Here is a 13,716-nt window from a genome sequence, read left to right as displayed (position 1 = left end):
GTAGCTGGGATTACAGGCATGCACCACCACACCCGGCTAATTTTGTATTTTTAGTAGAGACGGGGTTTCTCCATGTTGGTCAGGCTGGTCTCGAACTACCGACCTCGGGTTATCTGCCCGCCTTGGCCTCCCAAAGTGCTGGGATTACAGGCATGAGCCATTGTACCCAGCCCAACAGTGAGCTTCTCTAATGTCGCCCTGCCATTAGGTGGCCAGGGCCCTAAACATAGCTGAGTGCTGTTTATATCAGCCCACCCTGCCTTTTGAATCAGCTCTCAACAAGCCACAGATGTACTATTACCTGATTTTACTGAGTACCTGATTTTACTCACAGCATGCAGAATAGCAGTGGAGGACTCTAAGGTGCCCAGTGGAAACAGAAGATGCAATTTTTGCCCTCAAGAAACTTGAACTAAGGATTCTTGAATGATTTTCTCATCATTTTCCTCTATCTCTGCTTTCCTTTCTTATGACTTCTCAACATGGACTCTCCTCTTTCCCATTCTCTGCCCTAGGTTTTTCCTTACCCTGACTCATTCTTCCAGAACCCCTCCCCAGATCACTTTTTTTTTTTTTTTAAGCCTGACCCACTGCTGACAGACAGATCACCTTTTATTGCCCTAACCTACCTAGTAGCTCAGGCCCCAAACCTGAGAGTCAGTATCCTCTTTTCCTCTCTTCCCCATCCCTCATTCATATGCAAGTTCTATTGACCTTATCATCCAAATATATCCCAACTCTGACACATCATCTCACAATCTCCACTGGTACAGTCCTAGCCATGCACTGTTTATCTTGCCTCTGCTGCTGACCATGACAGCCCCCTAACTGGTCTCCCCTGCGTGTCCCCCTACAGTCCATTCTCCACACAGCAGTCATGTTCCTCTGAAGCCCTCAGCACTGTCTCTTAGGGCTGTGTGTTTCTTGCTATTCCTGTGTCCTTCAAACCAATCTGTCTGCCTTTTGGTCATTTCCCCCCAGATGTGACCTGTCTTCTCCCCTCTCAGACCCTGGGGTGGAGGGTGCTTCCCTCTCATGGGAGGCAATCTGACTGGGAGTTGGGGTGGGGGCCATTGTGCTAGCCTAGAGGAAGTCAGTGAGCTGAGCATGGTTGAGTATGCTTCTGAAATGGCAGGAAGTATTTTCGGGGACTGTCTTAGACTCCCTTTTTCTCATTTCCATCTTCCCTGGTTCCTTCTGTTCAGCATTCTTCCTTGCTCTCACTCTTCCTTCCCTTCTGGCTTTCACTGACTGATTCTCTGTCTTTGGATTGGGGAGAGGAAAGCATCCCTCATCAGCTTTGGGGTCTTGAGAGATTCTTCAGTCAAATGTACCCCTGTTCCCAACTCAAGCCCCTCCCCCCAACTCTGGGAGGTGGGCTGAAACAGGCCAGGTAGGGAACATTCATCTCATCCTCTGCAGTCTGCACACCTAATCTGAGTCATTCACCATTTTATCCCCAATGCCTAGCACAACTCTGTGCACCCAGTAGATGCTTATTAAGTATTTATTGAATGGGTAAATGAATGAATGAATGTCTTAGGCATTCAGTTTCCCTGTTGGACCCTGGTCTGGCATTTCTGGTTCTTTAGAGTATTGCTTTCAAACTTTAATGTACATAAAAATCACCTGGGGATCTTGCTAAACTGGAGAGTTGGATTGAATAGGTCTGAGTTGAGGTCCAAGAATGCATTGGTACCACGCTTCCAGGGATGCCAATGCTGCTGGCTCTGAAGTCACATTTTGAGGAGCAAGACTCCAAGAGGAGGGTTCTCTCAGGCAGATGGTATCCTCAGCCTAAATCTGAAAAAGAGAATGATGAAGATTGAGGGAGACTGAGAAATAGGGAGAGAGGAACCAAAGAAAGAGGAGGTCCAAGGTCACTAGTTTAAAGGCCTTTAAAGCCCCTGAGAGGTACCCAGGTCAGTGGTCTCAGGAAGCCTAGAAGCACCTGCAGCATCTCTCACAACAGCATCTCTCTCAAAGACCTCACCCCTGACTTGGGGAGGTGGGGCTCTGGAGATAACTGACATCTCCATGTCCCTGATTGGCCTCCTTACTCCTGATGAACCCCACGGGTCACAGAAAAGAAAACTTGGCAGAGAACAGGTTTGGAGTTTTCATTCAATTCCATGAACATTATCCAGACTACCTGTCAGCACACAGGTGAACAGGAGGCCTGTCTAGTGGAGGCAGACATCTTGCATGAATAAAAGAAGTTGGGATTTAAATCTGGCTTTAGAGGAGGATGGAGAGAGCTTTGATAAGCATATGGGGGCCTTGGAAAGTGGTGGAGAGGTCATTCCAGACAAAATGGGCTGGAAGCAGGATAGTTCAGGGCATATTCCTTGAACGATAAAGGGACCAGTAGCTGGGGTGAGGAGGAAGGATGTAGGAGGAAAAGCTGTAGGAGTTCAGTGTGGTTCTGCATTAAGGAGGGCTTTGCATGCCTATTTGAGGAATCAGTACTTTGGTGTGAATGCAGTTTTTTTCTGAATGCATTAGGGCACCATGGACTGGAGTTCCATGAGGAGAGACGTGTATCTGGGAGAGGTGCTTCTGGGGAAGGCTTTGCCATCTACTGATTTACCTGCTTATTGGGTGGGACCCTTCTTGTCGGTCTGTCTGTACTCCCTGGAGGCTTGGTCAGGCTTTGAAATTGAAAGAGTGGTCCCTGGGTTGTGGGGGAGCTGGAGTGAGGTTTTCCTGTTTGTTTGTTTTTTGTTTTCCCTCTGGGAAAGAGCTAGAGTAATTTTGTTCAGTGGAAAATTTTATGAGCTTCTGTCCTAACTCCAGGGTTTTCTTTTGTTTTGTTTTAGACTAGAAGCCCCTGATAACAAACTATGCCTCAGGCAAGGGAGAGGAAGGGGAAAATAAGGAGGCCATTTTTCATGGTGGGTGAGCTAGTAACATCATTACTGGTCCATGCTGGTGAACACTGGGACCCAGCTGCCTAGGAATGTCCGTCAGTTTGATTTCCACCCACCACTCAATCCCCCACCCTCCAGGCAATTCCAGTGTCTCCTGACCTTGGAGCGGGGGCCCTAGGACATATTGCCAATGCCAGATGCTTGGAGGCTTTTCCTGCTTAGATATCTCCAGCGCTTGCCAGACTGGGTGTCAGCCTTCCTAAGAACTAACTTAAGTTTAATACCTATGCATTTCACACACAGGCGTGTGAGGGTGGAGACTATTTTTTGGCTGGCTGCTGGGAAGGGGCAGCATTTTGTGATTATTTGTGGGAGGAGTCTGGCTTGCAAGTCTGGGGTTTTCCCTGACAAGGATCCATCTCTTTCCTCCCTGTGTGTCTCCTGTCCCCTGTGCCTGAGGTCACTCTCTTGTACTCATTCCTCCAGCAGGCCAGAAATTATGTCAACAGAGAGGGCAGATTTTGTTTCTGTGGGAGAGTGTGGGAGATTATTTTCATTTGATTTATTACAGTGCCTGATGATCCTCATGCTGATGTGCTAACAAGCAGGAGAAGCCAGGAGCAGCCCTCACAGCATCACACGGAGGGCTAGACCAAGACTGGCTGGCAGGGACTTAGTCCCAAATGGCAATTTAGGAGTGGGAAGGGGGCTGAAAGGGCTTGGGGACAGGGCTATCACTGACATCTCAGACTCAGTTTCTCAGTTCTGGGAGGGGGACTAGCACTGGGACAACTTCATGTGGGCCGTTCTTCTTCCTGTGTCCTATGGCCTCTGACATTTATTTATCTATTTATTTATGTGACACAGTCTCGCTCTGTTGCACAGGCTGGAGTACAATGGCGTGATCTAGGCTCACTGCAACCTCTGCCTCCCAGGTTCAAGCAATTCTCCTGCCTCAGCCTCCCGAGTAGCTGGGATCACAGGCTCCCGCCACCACGTCCAGATAATTTTTGTATTTTTAGTACAGACAGGGTTTCACCATGTTGGCCAGGCTGGTCTCGAACTCCTGACCTCATGATCCACCCACCTCAGCCTCCCAAAGGGCTGGGATTACAGGCGTGAGCCACTGCGCTCCACCGGGCTCCAACTTTTATATTCCTCACTGCTCTGAAGCTCTTTTAGCTCAGAGTCCTTTCAAATGTTCTGTGGCAAATGTGACCAGGACATTTCAGGCAAAATCTTCTCACACTTGTAGAGTGAATAGAAAATTCCAGGTCCTCAATGTTGATCATGTCTTTGATGCATGACTAATAGTAGGTGCTCAGTTTATTTCTGGTGTAGGCGAAGAGGCTTTTAAGCTACTACCTGGTTTCATCTAGGAAGCTGAGGGCTAAGTTTTGGGTTCCTCTGCAGTAACTGTCCATTCTTGGGTTTCTTTTCCCAGGACATTTTAAAATCCTCACTTCTTTATCTGTTCTTGTTCTTTCATGGGTGTTTCGATGGTTCTGTTATATCTGTCTTTTTAATTTTATTTATTTATTTATTTACAAACAGTGTCTTACTCTGTTGCCCAGGCTACAGTGTAGTGGCATGATCATAGCTCACTGCAGCCTCAAACTCCTGGGCTCAAGGGGTCTTCCCACTTTAGTTTCCCTAGTAGCTGTGATTATAGTCCTGCATCAGCATGCCTGGCTAATTTTTAAACTTTTTGTAAAGATGGTGTCTCACTATATTCCCTAGGCTGGTCTGGAACTCCTGGGCTGAAGCTATCCTCTTGCCTTGGCCTCCCTAAATGTTGGAATTACAGACATGGGCCACTACACCTGGCGATCTGTGTCTTATACGGTAGGCCATCTCAGATCTTTTTAGAAGGAATGTGGGTAAAAGTGCTCTGAAGACATTGTTGTATTTCACTTCAGCTGCTGTATGATTTTTTCAGGGGTTGCTACCTGACAACTGGCCCCAAAACGAAGGGTCTGCTGATCATGTGCAGTCACACCAGGTCCTGCTGGTGGTTGGAGGGGTTGCCATGAGAGTGAACAGAAAGCTAACTTGAAGTTTATTGAGGCAGCATGATTGGAAAGGGAATTAAGGGAGGACATGAGAAGATGAGAGAATAGAAAGAGCTTGGCAAGGGAAGACAGGAGGAGAGATCAGAGGAACAAAGAGGGAGGGGTGTAGGATGGAAGGTACTTACCATCGTAGGCCTCAGCTTGTCATCTGTAAAACGGGAATAATAGGGTTGTTGTCAGGAGCAAGACAGTTAATACATGTGACATTCTTAGCAGAATGATATAATTGTTTGATGATAATAAACAGGGTAATACTGCCTCCGTCACAAGGGTTGTTATGAGACCGGGGCATGTAAAACACTTTGCAGGCTGCAAAATGCTCATGTTTTCACTGCTACTATTATTATTCCACTCTTGCACTTCTTTCAGCCACTGTCCTGTCTTCATGCGGATGAAGGGGGAGCTGCCAGAAGGAGGTGTGGACCCCTGGGTTCTGTTCTGCTTTGGGGACTGTTTCCTTCCTCCCCTCCTCACCCCCTGGTGAACAGAGTCCAAGCCCCTCCCCCTCCCCCGCTGGCTTGTATGCCCTCAGGCTCAGTGGAGAGAAAGTAGAGGCTGGCAGGAGGGGCGCAGGAGGGAGGCCAGGGGGAAGCCAAGCTGAAAATGAAAGCTGGGGAGGGGGCAGCGGAGCGCGCCTGGAATCATGTTTGCATAACGAGCTGTGCTGGCTCTGGCTTGCTGTTTTTCCAGACAGGGCTCTCCCTCCTTTGTCTCTCAGCTGGTGCTCCAGTCTCTTTCCTTCTTTTTTTTCTCCTGGCCACTGCCCCTCATTTACTTTGCCCCTCAGTACTCCCTGCAGCCACCTGGACTCCAGTCTTCCCCTTCCGTTTCCCTGACTTCTGCTCTGAGGCTCTGCTCATTTATACCTTTGTTTCCCCCATCCCCATCTCCCTCGTGTGCCCCCCTTCTCTGCCATCCATTTCTGCCCCAGTGGGTTCCCCTCTGTCTCTCTCCCCAGTTCTCCCTTCTCCATCTCTGTGGCATCCCCTTTACTCTCTTTCTGGCTGGAAGTCCCCCATCTTTTCTCTTCCTGCCTGTTTCTGTCTTGCTCTTGCATTCCTGGGTCTCTTTCTTCTTACTAACCCCTTCTGCCTCCCGGGTCAGGCTTCACCTCCTGCCTTCCTCCCCTTCTCTTGCCTTCCCTCTCTGACAAAGCACTTTCCTGTCAGTTATACTGCTTGGATTCAGGGCACTTAGCACCTAGATTCAGGGCCCACTGTGAAGCCCTCCTTTGTTCACTTGATGAAATAATTGCAGTAACAAGACTAAAATTTAATGAACACTTACTAAACGCCTTATCTGTGTATGATCTCATGTACTTCTCTCAATAATACTATGAGATGAATATTATTATCCCCATTTTACAGATGAGGAAAGTTGAGAGATTAAATAACTTGCTGAATAACTCACAGTTAATCAGAATTGGGGCTTGAATGCAGGCCTGCTTGCCTAAGGAGCCTGTGCTCTTAACCACAGGGGTCGATTCCAGCCCTGGAAGAAGCTGGTCTCACTTTCTCTCCCAGTGAGACTAACATAGCCCTCCTCCTTTCTTTAAACATCATCTTGGCGCCCCCAGCTTCCTCCAAAGGTCATTTGGTCCCTTCTCTTTTCTCTGCACAAGTCCAGATTCAACCTAGTCTCAAGACTTTATTTTATATGACAGTGCTACTAACGATACATTGCCTGGCACTAATCTAAGCACTTTATGCATATTATTTTATTTAATCATCTTAGTAACTGTGGGAAGTAGCTACTATTCTCACCCCCATTTTACAGATGAAGAAACTGAGGCATAGGGAAGTCAAATAACATGTCAGTGGTCACATAGTTAATAAGTGGCAGAGCCAGGATTGAGCCCAGGCACTTTGGCTTCAGGGAACCTGGCCTAACAGCCACACTGCTTCACAGTTCCTGGGAAAACAGGTTTTGGTCCCTCACCTCTTGTTACTAGTCCAGGTGCTTTGAGCAGTTCTTGTGGTCCATCCTCAAGCCCATTTCTGTGGGCACTGCCTGCTGCGGTGTAAAGTCTGCCACCAGCACTGACAGCCCTCAAGATCTGGTAGGCCACTTGCCCTAATCGGTGCCTGAGGGGATTTATTGGTGGCTGCCCCCAGGGAGTGGGGACAAGTGTTTTCCTCTCCAGCTCTGCTGTGCAGCCTCCTAGCCCGACAGCTCCCTCGTTCCGGCCCATCGCAGCAGCTGATTTACCTCTATGGCTGGGGGATTTAGCTGCTGGCCTGGCTCCTACTATAAATCCCTGGGCAAATAACCAAGCTCTGCATCAAAGCTGCCAACAGGGGAGTGAGCAGGAGCAGATGGTCACTTTGGCCATGGGGTGGGGAGGGCAGGGGCAGTGGCTCCAGGGCTTTCTTGTCCACCCCTGTCCACAGAGCCAGGCTGCACCTTGTTCATGCCCATGGGGTTGCCACTCAACTTTCAGAGGATTTGACGGCCCCATCCTGGCATCTCCCGATGCTGAGTGCCGGCAGGTTCTGGTTAATGTTCAGTCTTATACCTGCTACTCCATTTGAAGTCTCTTTGCTTGACATCACTAGAGAAGGAGAGAACTGACTACCATACTGGGTTTTATCACCCTTCCAAGAGCCGAGCTTTGGGTGGTTTTCTGGAAACCCATCCCATACATGTGGGATGTAGGTAGGTTCTGTCCTCCTGAGAGAGGCTCAGACTGAAGCAGGAATTAAGAACTTCTCAGTGGAAAGGAATGAAAGACCTAGAATGTAGGTGACCTAGAGCGGAGGCTGAGTGAAACCTCCAAAAAGTAGGCCAAAGTCAGGGTGGAAGAACCCTGAAGGATAAAGGTACTCCCTAAAAGTGAGACTTGTGGAAGCTGTGGTTGGAACCCTCAAACCTTCCATGTGTGGCCCTGGCTCAGGAATATGATATGACTGCAGGGGTCCACACTGGATCTGGGGGTGCAGTGGGACTGGAGGGGTCATTGTTCTATCAGTGTTCCTTGCTTCTCTGGCTTCCTCCCCTCTTTCTCTGACTCCTTTGGTGGCTTCTCCCTGCCACTCCCTGCCTGTCCCCTGCTCCCTTCTCTTTGCCATGTTCTCCCCTGTGGTGCTGTCACTTGCTGGTAGCCAGAAAGCACTTCCTGCACTCAACTGACCAGCCTGCGGTGGTGGGATTGGGCTGTAGCTCAGGGCTCTGGTTCTGCTCCCCAGAACCTTGCTCAGCCTGGAGCCTGTCCCCAGTGTCTGTGCCATTTTGTTCTTATGCTCCTCATTTATCTTTCCTGTCCCCCTCCCCCTACCACTGCCGCCTCCGCCTGGGAGATTACAGTCACTGAATCAGCAGCCAGCTCCAGAGTTCTGCTGACAGGGGACTTTCTGCCTCTGAGGGCTCCTTGGTGGGATCAGGGTCCCTCCTGAGGCCCAGGGATTTGGGGTAGGGGAAGAGAAGGGCTGGAAAGAAGAACAGGTGGATGTAGAGGGACAGATGAAGGCAAAAGGTAAAGGAGAGAGGCGGGAATATGGAGAGAGAAAGGGAGAGATGAACAGAATTAGAAGAAAATATAGGCAAAGATGGAAGAACAGTGGGAGAAGTGGAGAGAGAAGCAGAGGCTGGGGAGATGGGAAAGAGTACAAGAGGAGGGGTGTGGGAATTAGGTAGGGCAAACTCTGTTGAGCATCCTGCAAGTCCAGGCCCAGCCCTGCCCTCTGCCCTCCCCTGGTGCCTGGGGAAGGCCCCTTGGAGGCCCAAGTTCACTGGGACCCAGCTGAGAGGTACAGGCTGGGGCCTGTTGGCCCTTGGTCTGGGGCTCTGCCTTGTACCTCCCTCTCTCCTCCTCACGTGGTGGTTTGTACTTCATCTTGTTTGCGGGGCGGCTGGGCCTGCTCTCGGGGTTTAATGATCTGTGCCATTATTTATAGCTTTGCGCGCCGAGAAACACACTGAATTTATTGCTTGCTTCTATAAATAACCCTGGCAAACGGGTGCCCAGGGAGGAGGGCGGGAGGGGGAGGGAGAAGCGAAGAAAGGAGAGGTTGGGGGTAGGGCAAGGGAGGACTCTGTGGACTCTGTCCCCAAAATGGGGTGACGATGTGCACAAGGACAGTGGAGGCTGGTGGGACTCTTTCATCGTGGGTGTGTGTCTAAGGACACGTTAATATAACAGGACAGTGTGTGCCCTGTGAGGGGAGAGGGAGTGTTTGCATGTTTCTGAGGGCATGCATGAGTTGACTGTGTGTTACTGTTTGTGTTTGTCTCCGGTGCCACGCTGGTGGCGGTGAGGTTGAAAAAGCACAAGGCAGCCTCCAGCCACGGCTGGTCTCGAAATGGATGTCCAGCAGGGCTGAGAGACAAGTGTTGGGGGTGCGGCTTGACTAGAGTCGGGATTCTTTCTCTAAGGTTGGGGTAACAGAAAAGGTCACAGTGAGACTACTTTTCTGGATGTTCGATGGTAGAGGTGATAAAAGGAAGAAATGAGGCCTTGGGGGGCAGGGGCCAGGGCCACCTGTTCCAGGATCCAGAGAGACCTTCACTTTTGGGCTTCGTGGAAGGAGAGGTGGTGGATGGAGAGAGGGGTGGGGTGTGTGGTTGGCCGTAGCACTCCTCCTACGACCCTCCTGGCAAGTCCTGTCCCAGAATGGGAGTGGGGGCTCTGCGCAGGCCAGCCTGCCCAGGCAGAGCCAAGGGCCTGGTGCTGTGGCCTGCAGATTGCACCATGCCTGCCTATAGCAGGCCTTCCCCCTGGCCAGGGCTCTTCCCTACCCCTCCTCAGGACTGCCCAGGGTAGCAGGTCTTGAGGAATGGAAACTCTGGCACGGCCCAGCCACAGGGCTGTGGTCCTGCCTCCTCTCTCTCCCTTAGCCCACCACACAGAACCTGCTGCAGCAGCAGCGATTAGCTCTGGGAAGTGCTGTGCATCTCTAATGAGGGCATTTGCATATATAACGAAGAACCTTCACAGGTGTTGGCAGAGCCACCCCTCCTCTTTTCTCTTTCTTCTTTCCTGCCAGCTGCCATCTTTGACCTGTGGCTGTTGGGGTGGGGGGGTCCCTGCCCATTCAGCTGGGAGATGTGCTGTGCTGAAGGATCCCAGGCACAGGTGAGTTTCAGGGGCTCCCCTCTCTGGGTCAGAAACTGTCAAGGTGAAAGCCCATTGTGTCAGTGTGCATGGACAGGCCCAGCAACCTGTGTACATGTGTGAACATGAGCCTGTGCACACACAAAGAAGGCACAAGGTCAACACGCCCATCTGTGCCCAAGTGCACTGCAGTGTGGTAATGTACCCTGGTCAGTGCAAGTATGCAAAACACGTCCCAGGCTGCGCCCTGGCTGATGCTCCGATGCGCAGTGCACACGGCTGCCAGCACATGCTCCTTCACACTCACATCCTGGCACTAGTGCAGACAATTAGACAAAAATGCACCTGCACCGACACTTCCTCCATCCACACAGGGCCCCCTCCCTCCCTCCTTTCCTTTCTCCCTCATGGAATCATCAGCCCTTATTCAGGCCAGGAAACTACCTCCCACATCCTACTTAGACCTATGAAGTACACAAGAGACCATTTTCCTTTTAAAAATGAATATGAGGGGCCCTTACACATAGATAAATGACATTGAAGGGGAAGAGAAAATGCCAGGGCCAGAGTGGCAGGTAGGACCTCAGTTGGGAACTGGGGGCAGGTGGAGAGATTTCTGGGGAGGAGAAGCGCCAGGGGTGCTGAAGTCCCCACAAGGTCATTCTCAGGTTGTCCCCGACAGCCCTGACTCTCCTGCTGCAGACCAGCCAATCCCCAGCCCGAGGCCTCCCCACACTCTCCTGTTGGTCCGGCCGAGCCACGTGACCCTCCCGCTCTGTGGCAGCTGCTTGGATGATGGATGCAGCTGCTCAGCTCTACCTGTTGGGGGACGGACTGCACAGCTCCTAATTACCTCCTTCTTCAGTGAGGGCTGAGGGCTGGGGGCTCGACGCCGGGCTGTTATGAGACCCCTCTCCTCCGCTGGGGCTGGGGCTGGGGCTGGGGCTGACAACCTGAACTACAGCCAGGCTTGGAGGCAGGCAGCATTCCCTGAACTGCCCTAGGGTGAGGAGGGTGTGGGGGCACTAACCTGGGGTGTGGAGTGCGAGGAGTGCTTCTGGAAGGTTGACAGAGGGAGAAAGTGCATCATAAGTGACTTGGGAAACTGGGATAGGATATTAAATGAATGACCTTTCTCCAAGGCCATCCCACAGAGGGCAAGATTCAGGTTAAATATCAAGGCAAACTTCCTGGCAGCCAGGGATAAGTGCACTTGAGCAAAAGACAGAAAGGTGGAGATAGAGGTTTGGAAAGCTTTTTATAAGATGAATCAGATCATCATTTTCCTGTCTGGTGGGTGGCTCGTGGCAAATAGCTGCAGAAGTAGGCTGGAGTTAGAGTAGGAGGGCTGGAGGTAGAACTTGGAATGATTTGTTGGAGCGGTGGGTTGGGTGACACTGAACTGGACGCTTGAGGAGGTTGTGACACATCAGTGTGGGAGGCTCCAGGTCTGGCCTGGCTTGGGGAGGGATGAGGAAGACCCCAGGATTGTAAAGATGATGGAACTCCTCCAGACTTCTCCCCGGGGGCACTGAGGTGTTAGGGGGCAGAGGCATGTATTCAACAACACCCCAGTGCAATGGGATGCCTGGTGGGTGTGAGTGCCCCTGGCTGGAGGCAGGCAAACAGGTGGTTTGGGAATGGGACCACTACAAGATTTCTTCTGATTCTGAGATCCTAGGAATCCCAAAATTAGGATTCTGCAGGTTTCAAGAAGGGAAAGTAGGGAAGGGTTGGGCACAGAGCTGGTGAGTAGCACCAGGCATTTTGGCTGCCAGCCCCCTTCTCCTGGTGGTAGGGGCTATGATGATGTGGCTATGATAATTGCTATCCTTATTAAATGATATTGCAACTCACAGTAATGACAACTCCACCAGGATTCATTGCTCATAGTCCTCCCATTTTGGGGGATCTCTTGGCTGAGGAAGAGGGGGAAGGGGACCTTGAGTCCCTTTCCACCCCCGGTCCCAAAAGGAGGACAAAATAAACCAGTTGTCCAGGTAAGCAGACCTTGAGGGGTCAGTCAGTGTGGATAGAGAGGAAGGGAGTTGGGGGGAAGGCAGCAGGAAGGCTCCTCATGTTCCAGTGAGTCCTTTTTTTTTTTTGAGATGGATTCTCACTCTGTCGCCCAGGCTGGAGTGCAGTGGCCCAATCTCGGCTCACTGCAACTTCTGCCTCCTGGGTTCAAGTGATTCTCCTGCCTCAGCTTCCTGAGTAGCTGAGATTACAGCCTGCCACCACGCCCAGCTAATTTTCGTATTTTTAGTAGAGATGGGATTTCATCATGTTGGCCAGGATGGTCTCAAACTCCCGACCTCAGGTGATCCGCTCACCTCAGCCTCCCAAAGTACTGGGATTACAGGCATGAACCACTGCACCCAGCTCCAGTAAGTCCTTTTCTGAATGGTCCCCTGCCAATCTTTATTTGTCTCCCAGGGCATTTTTCCCAATCACCCCCACCCCTGGGTTTACGTGGATTGCAAATTGTTGGGCTGTCCTCAGCAGCAGTGCCCCCTCATTCCCCCCCACCTGACTCCTCACTGTCCTCCTAAGCTCATCAGGCTGTGGGGTGGACCCTCCCTCACCCTTGTCCTTTATAGTGCCCTGGGTGCCCTTCTCTATTGGCATGAGTCTTGAGGGAAAAGGTTAGGTAAGAGGTTGCTTACTGTGCTCCCTGGTGTGTGTGCGCGTGTCTCTGCTTCTAGGACAGTTTCTTCATGTGCGTGCTGGGGTTCAGGGTACACAGACTGTGTGGGGAGGCAGCTATGCTTTTGCCCATTCAGGGTGGTTATGAAAGGGAGACAGAAGGGGTGGGGATCTGGTGATCCATCATCTCCCCACCAGGGCAGACTGGAGCAGTTTTGTGAAACCAGGCTTTCCTGGTCTTAGCACTACACTTGTGTGTGTGCGTACACACACATACACACACACTCACACCACAGTCACCCCAAGAGGCAACCCACAGATGCATTGACATGCTTGATGCCTCAGGTTTTTTCCAAGGAAGTCTGCCCTGTAAGCTGCTCCCTAATTTATTACCCTACTTTATTAGAGTAAATTTCCTAGTAAGTCCCTTTGCATGGATCCCCCGTCACCCCAGACAGAAACCTTCCATAACTCCCCAGTGCCCATGGAGTGAAGCTCAGGCCCTCTAGCCGGCACTCAGGTTCTTCTCTGGTCTGTCTATTCCCAACCTGCCTTTCCAGCCTTGTCTCCCATAATCCTCCAGCAGGAGTGTCTTCCCCAAGAGGACTATTCCTGTGCACTTACATTTCCTCCCGCCTGGATCACCAGAGCGAGTGCCCTCCTCCCACTCACACCTCTAATCATTTTTTAGGCCCACCCCCTCCAGGTGGCCTTTTTGACTTCCCCAGCTTAGAGCAACTTCTTTCTTAGCATGTGGTCCTTGGCATCTGGAGGATGTCTTTCTACAGGCTGGGTCGGGGGAGCCTGTCTCCTCACTTCTGAGCCTCTCAAGGCAGGGCCTGTACTCATTCATCTTTATTTCCCTGGTGCCTAATATGGTGTCTGACATCTGTGTATGTAAATAGTTGAGAACCTGGCTCTAGGAAAGAGCAGCCTTCTGAATTGGTTTAAGTCCCTGCCCTGATTCTTCTGGCTCTGTGACCCTAAGCAAGCAGCTTCCCTTCTCTGGGCATCAGTTCCCTAATTGCACCATGGGGAGGTTGGACCTCCTTACTCTGAGATTCTGTTTTTGTGGTGG

The 13,716-nt window shown here is 51.1% G+C and overlaps 1 protein-coding gene and 1 long non-coding RNA gene across 2 annotated transcripts in view, besides 2 other annotated features; one reads left to right on the top strand and one right to left on the bottom strand.

Moving 5' to 3' along the window:
- The window catches only part of SMUG1 (single-strand-selective monofunctional uracil-DNA glycosylase 1), a 30,751-nt gene extending 18,897 nt beyond the window's left edge, over positions 1-11,854 (top strand). Inside the window, exons 6-7 of the transcript XR_007063064.1 lie at positions 4,611-4,715; positions 5,312-11,854. The gene's annotated coding sequence lies outside the window, so the exon portion shown is untranslated. The remainder of the gene's footprint in view (positions 1-4,610; positions 4,716-5,311) is intronic.
- On the bottom strand, positions 1,494-6,973 carry LOC102724030 (uncharacterized). Its single transcript, NR_187804.1, has 3 exons — positions 6,881-6,973; positions 5,068-5,090; positions 1,494-1,803 (listed from the first exon to the last, which is right to left on the bottom strand). It is a non-coding gene; the product is annotated as an uncharacterized LOC102724030 (long non-coding RNA).
- Positions 6,648-7,148: an enhancer, noted in NCBI's record as "H3K4me1 hESC enhancer chr12:54556725-54557225 (GRCh37/hg19 assembly coordinates)". NCBI's record gives its function as "activates a minimal SCP1, AML or CMV promoter by ChIP-STARR-seq in naive H9 embryonic stem cells {active_cell/tissue: H9 hESC(naive)}" and the evidence as "EXISTENCE:reporter gene assay evidence [ECO:0000049][PMID:30033119]".
- Positions 10,610-10,904: an enhancer, noted in NCBI's record as "tiled region #1237; HepG2 Activating DNase unmatched - State 12:CtcfO, and K562 Activating DNase unmatched - State 8:EnhW". NCBI's record gives its function as "activates a minimal TATA promoter and a strong SV40 promoter by Sharpr-MPRA in HepG2 and K562 cells {active_cell/tissue: HepG2 | K562}" and the evidence as "EXISTENCE:reporter gene assay evidence [ECO:0000049][PMID:27701403]".

This window comes from Homo sapiens, chromosome 12, assembly GCF_000001405.40.
Source record: "Homo sapiens chromosome 12, GRCh38.p14 Primary Assembly".
Taxonomy (NCBI): Eukaryota; Metazoa; Chordata; class Mammalia; order Primates; family Hominidae; genus Homo; species Homo sapiens.
Note: the sequence above shows the minus strand (reverse complement) of the source record. Positions and strands in the feature narration are given on the sequence as shown.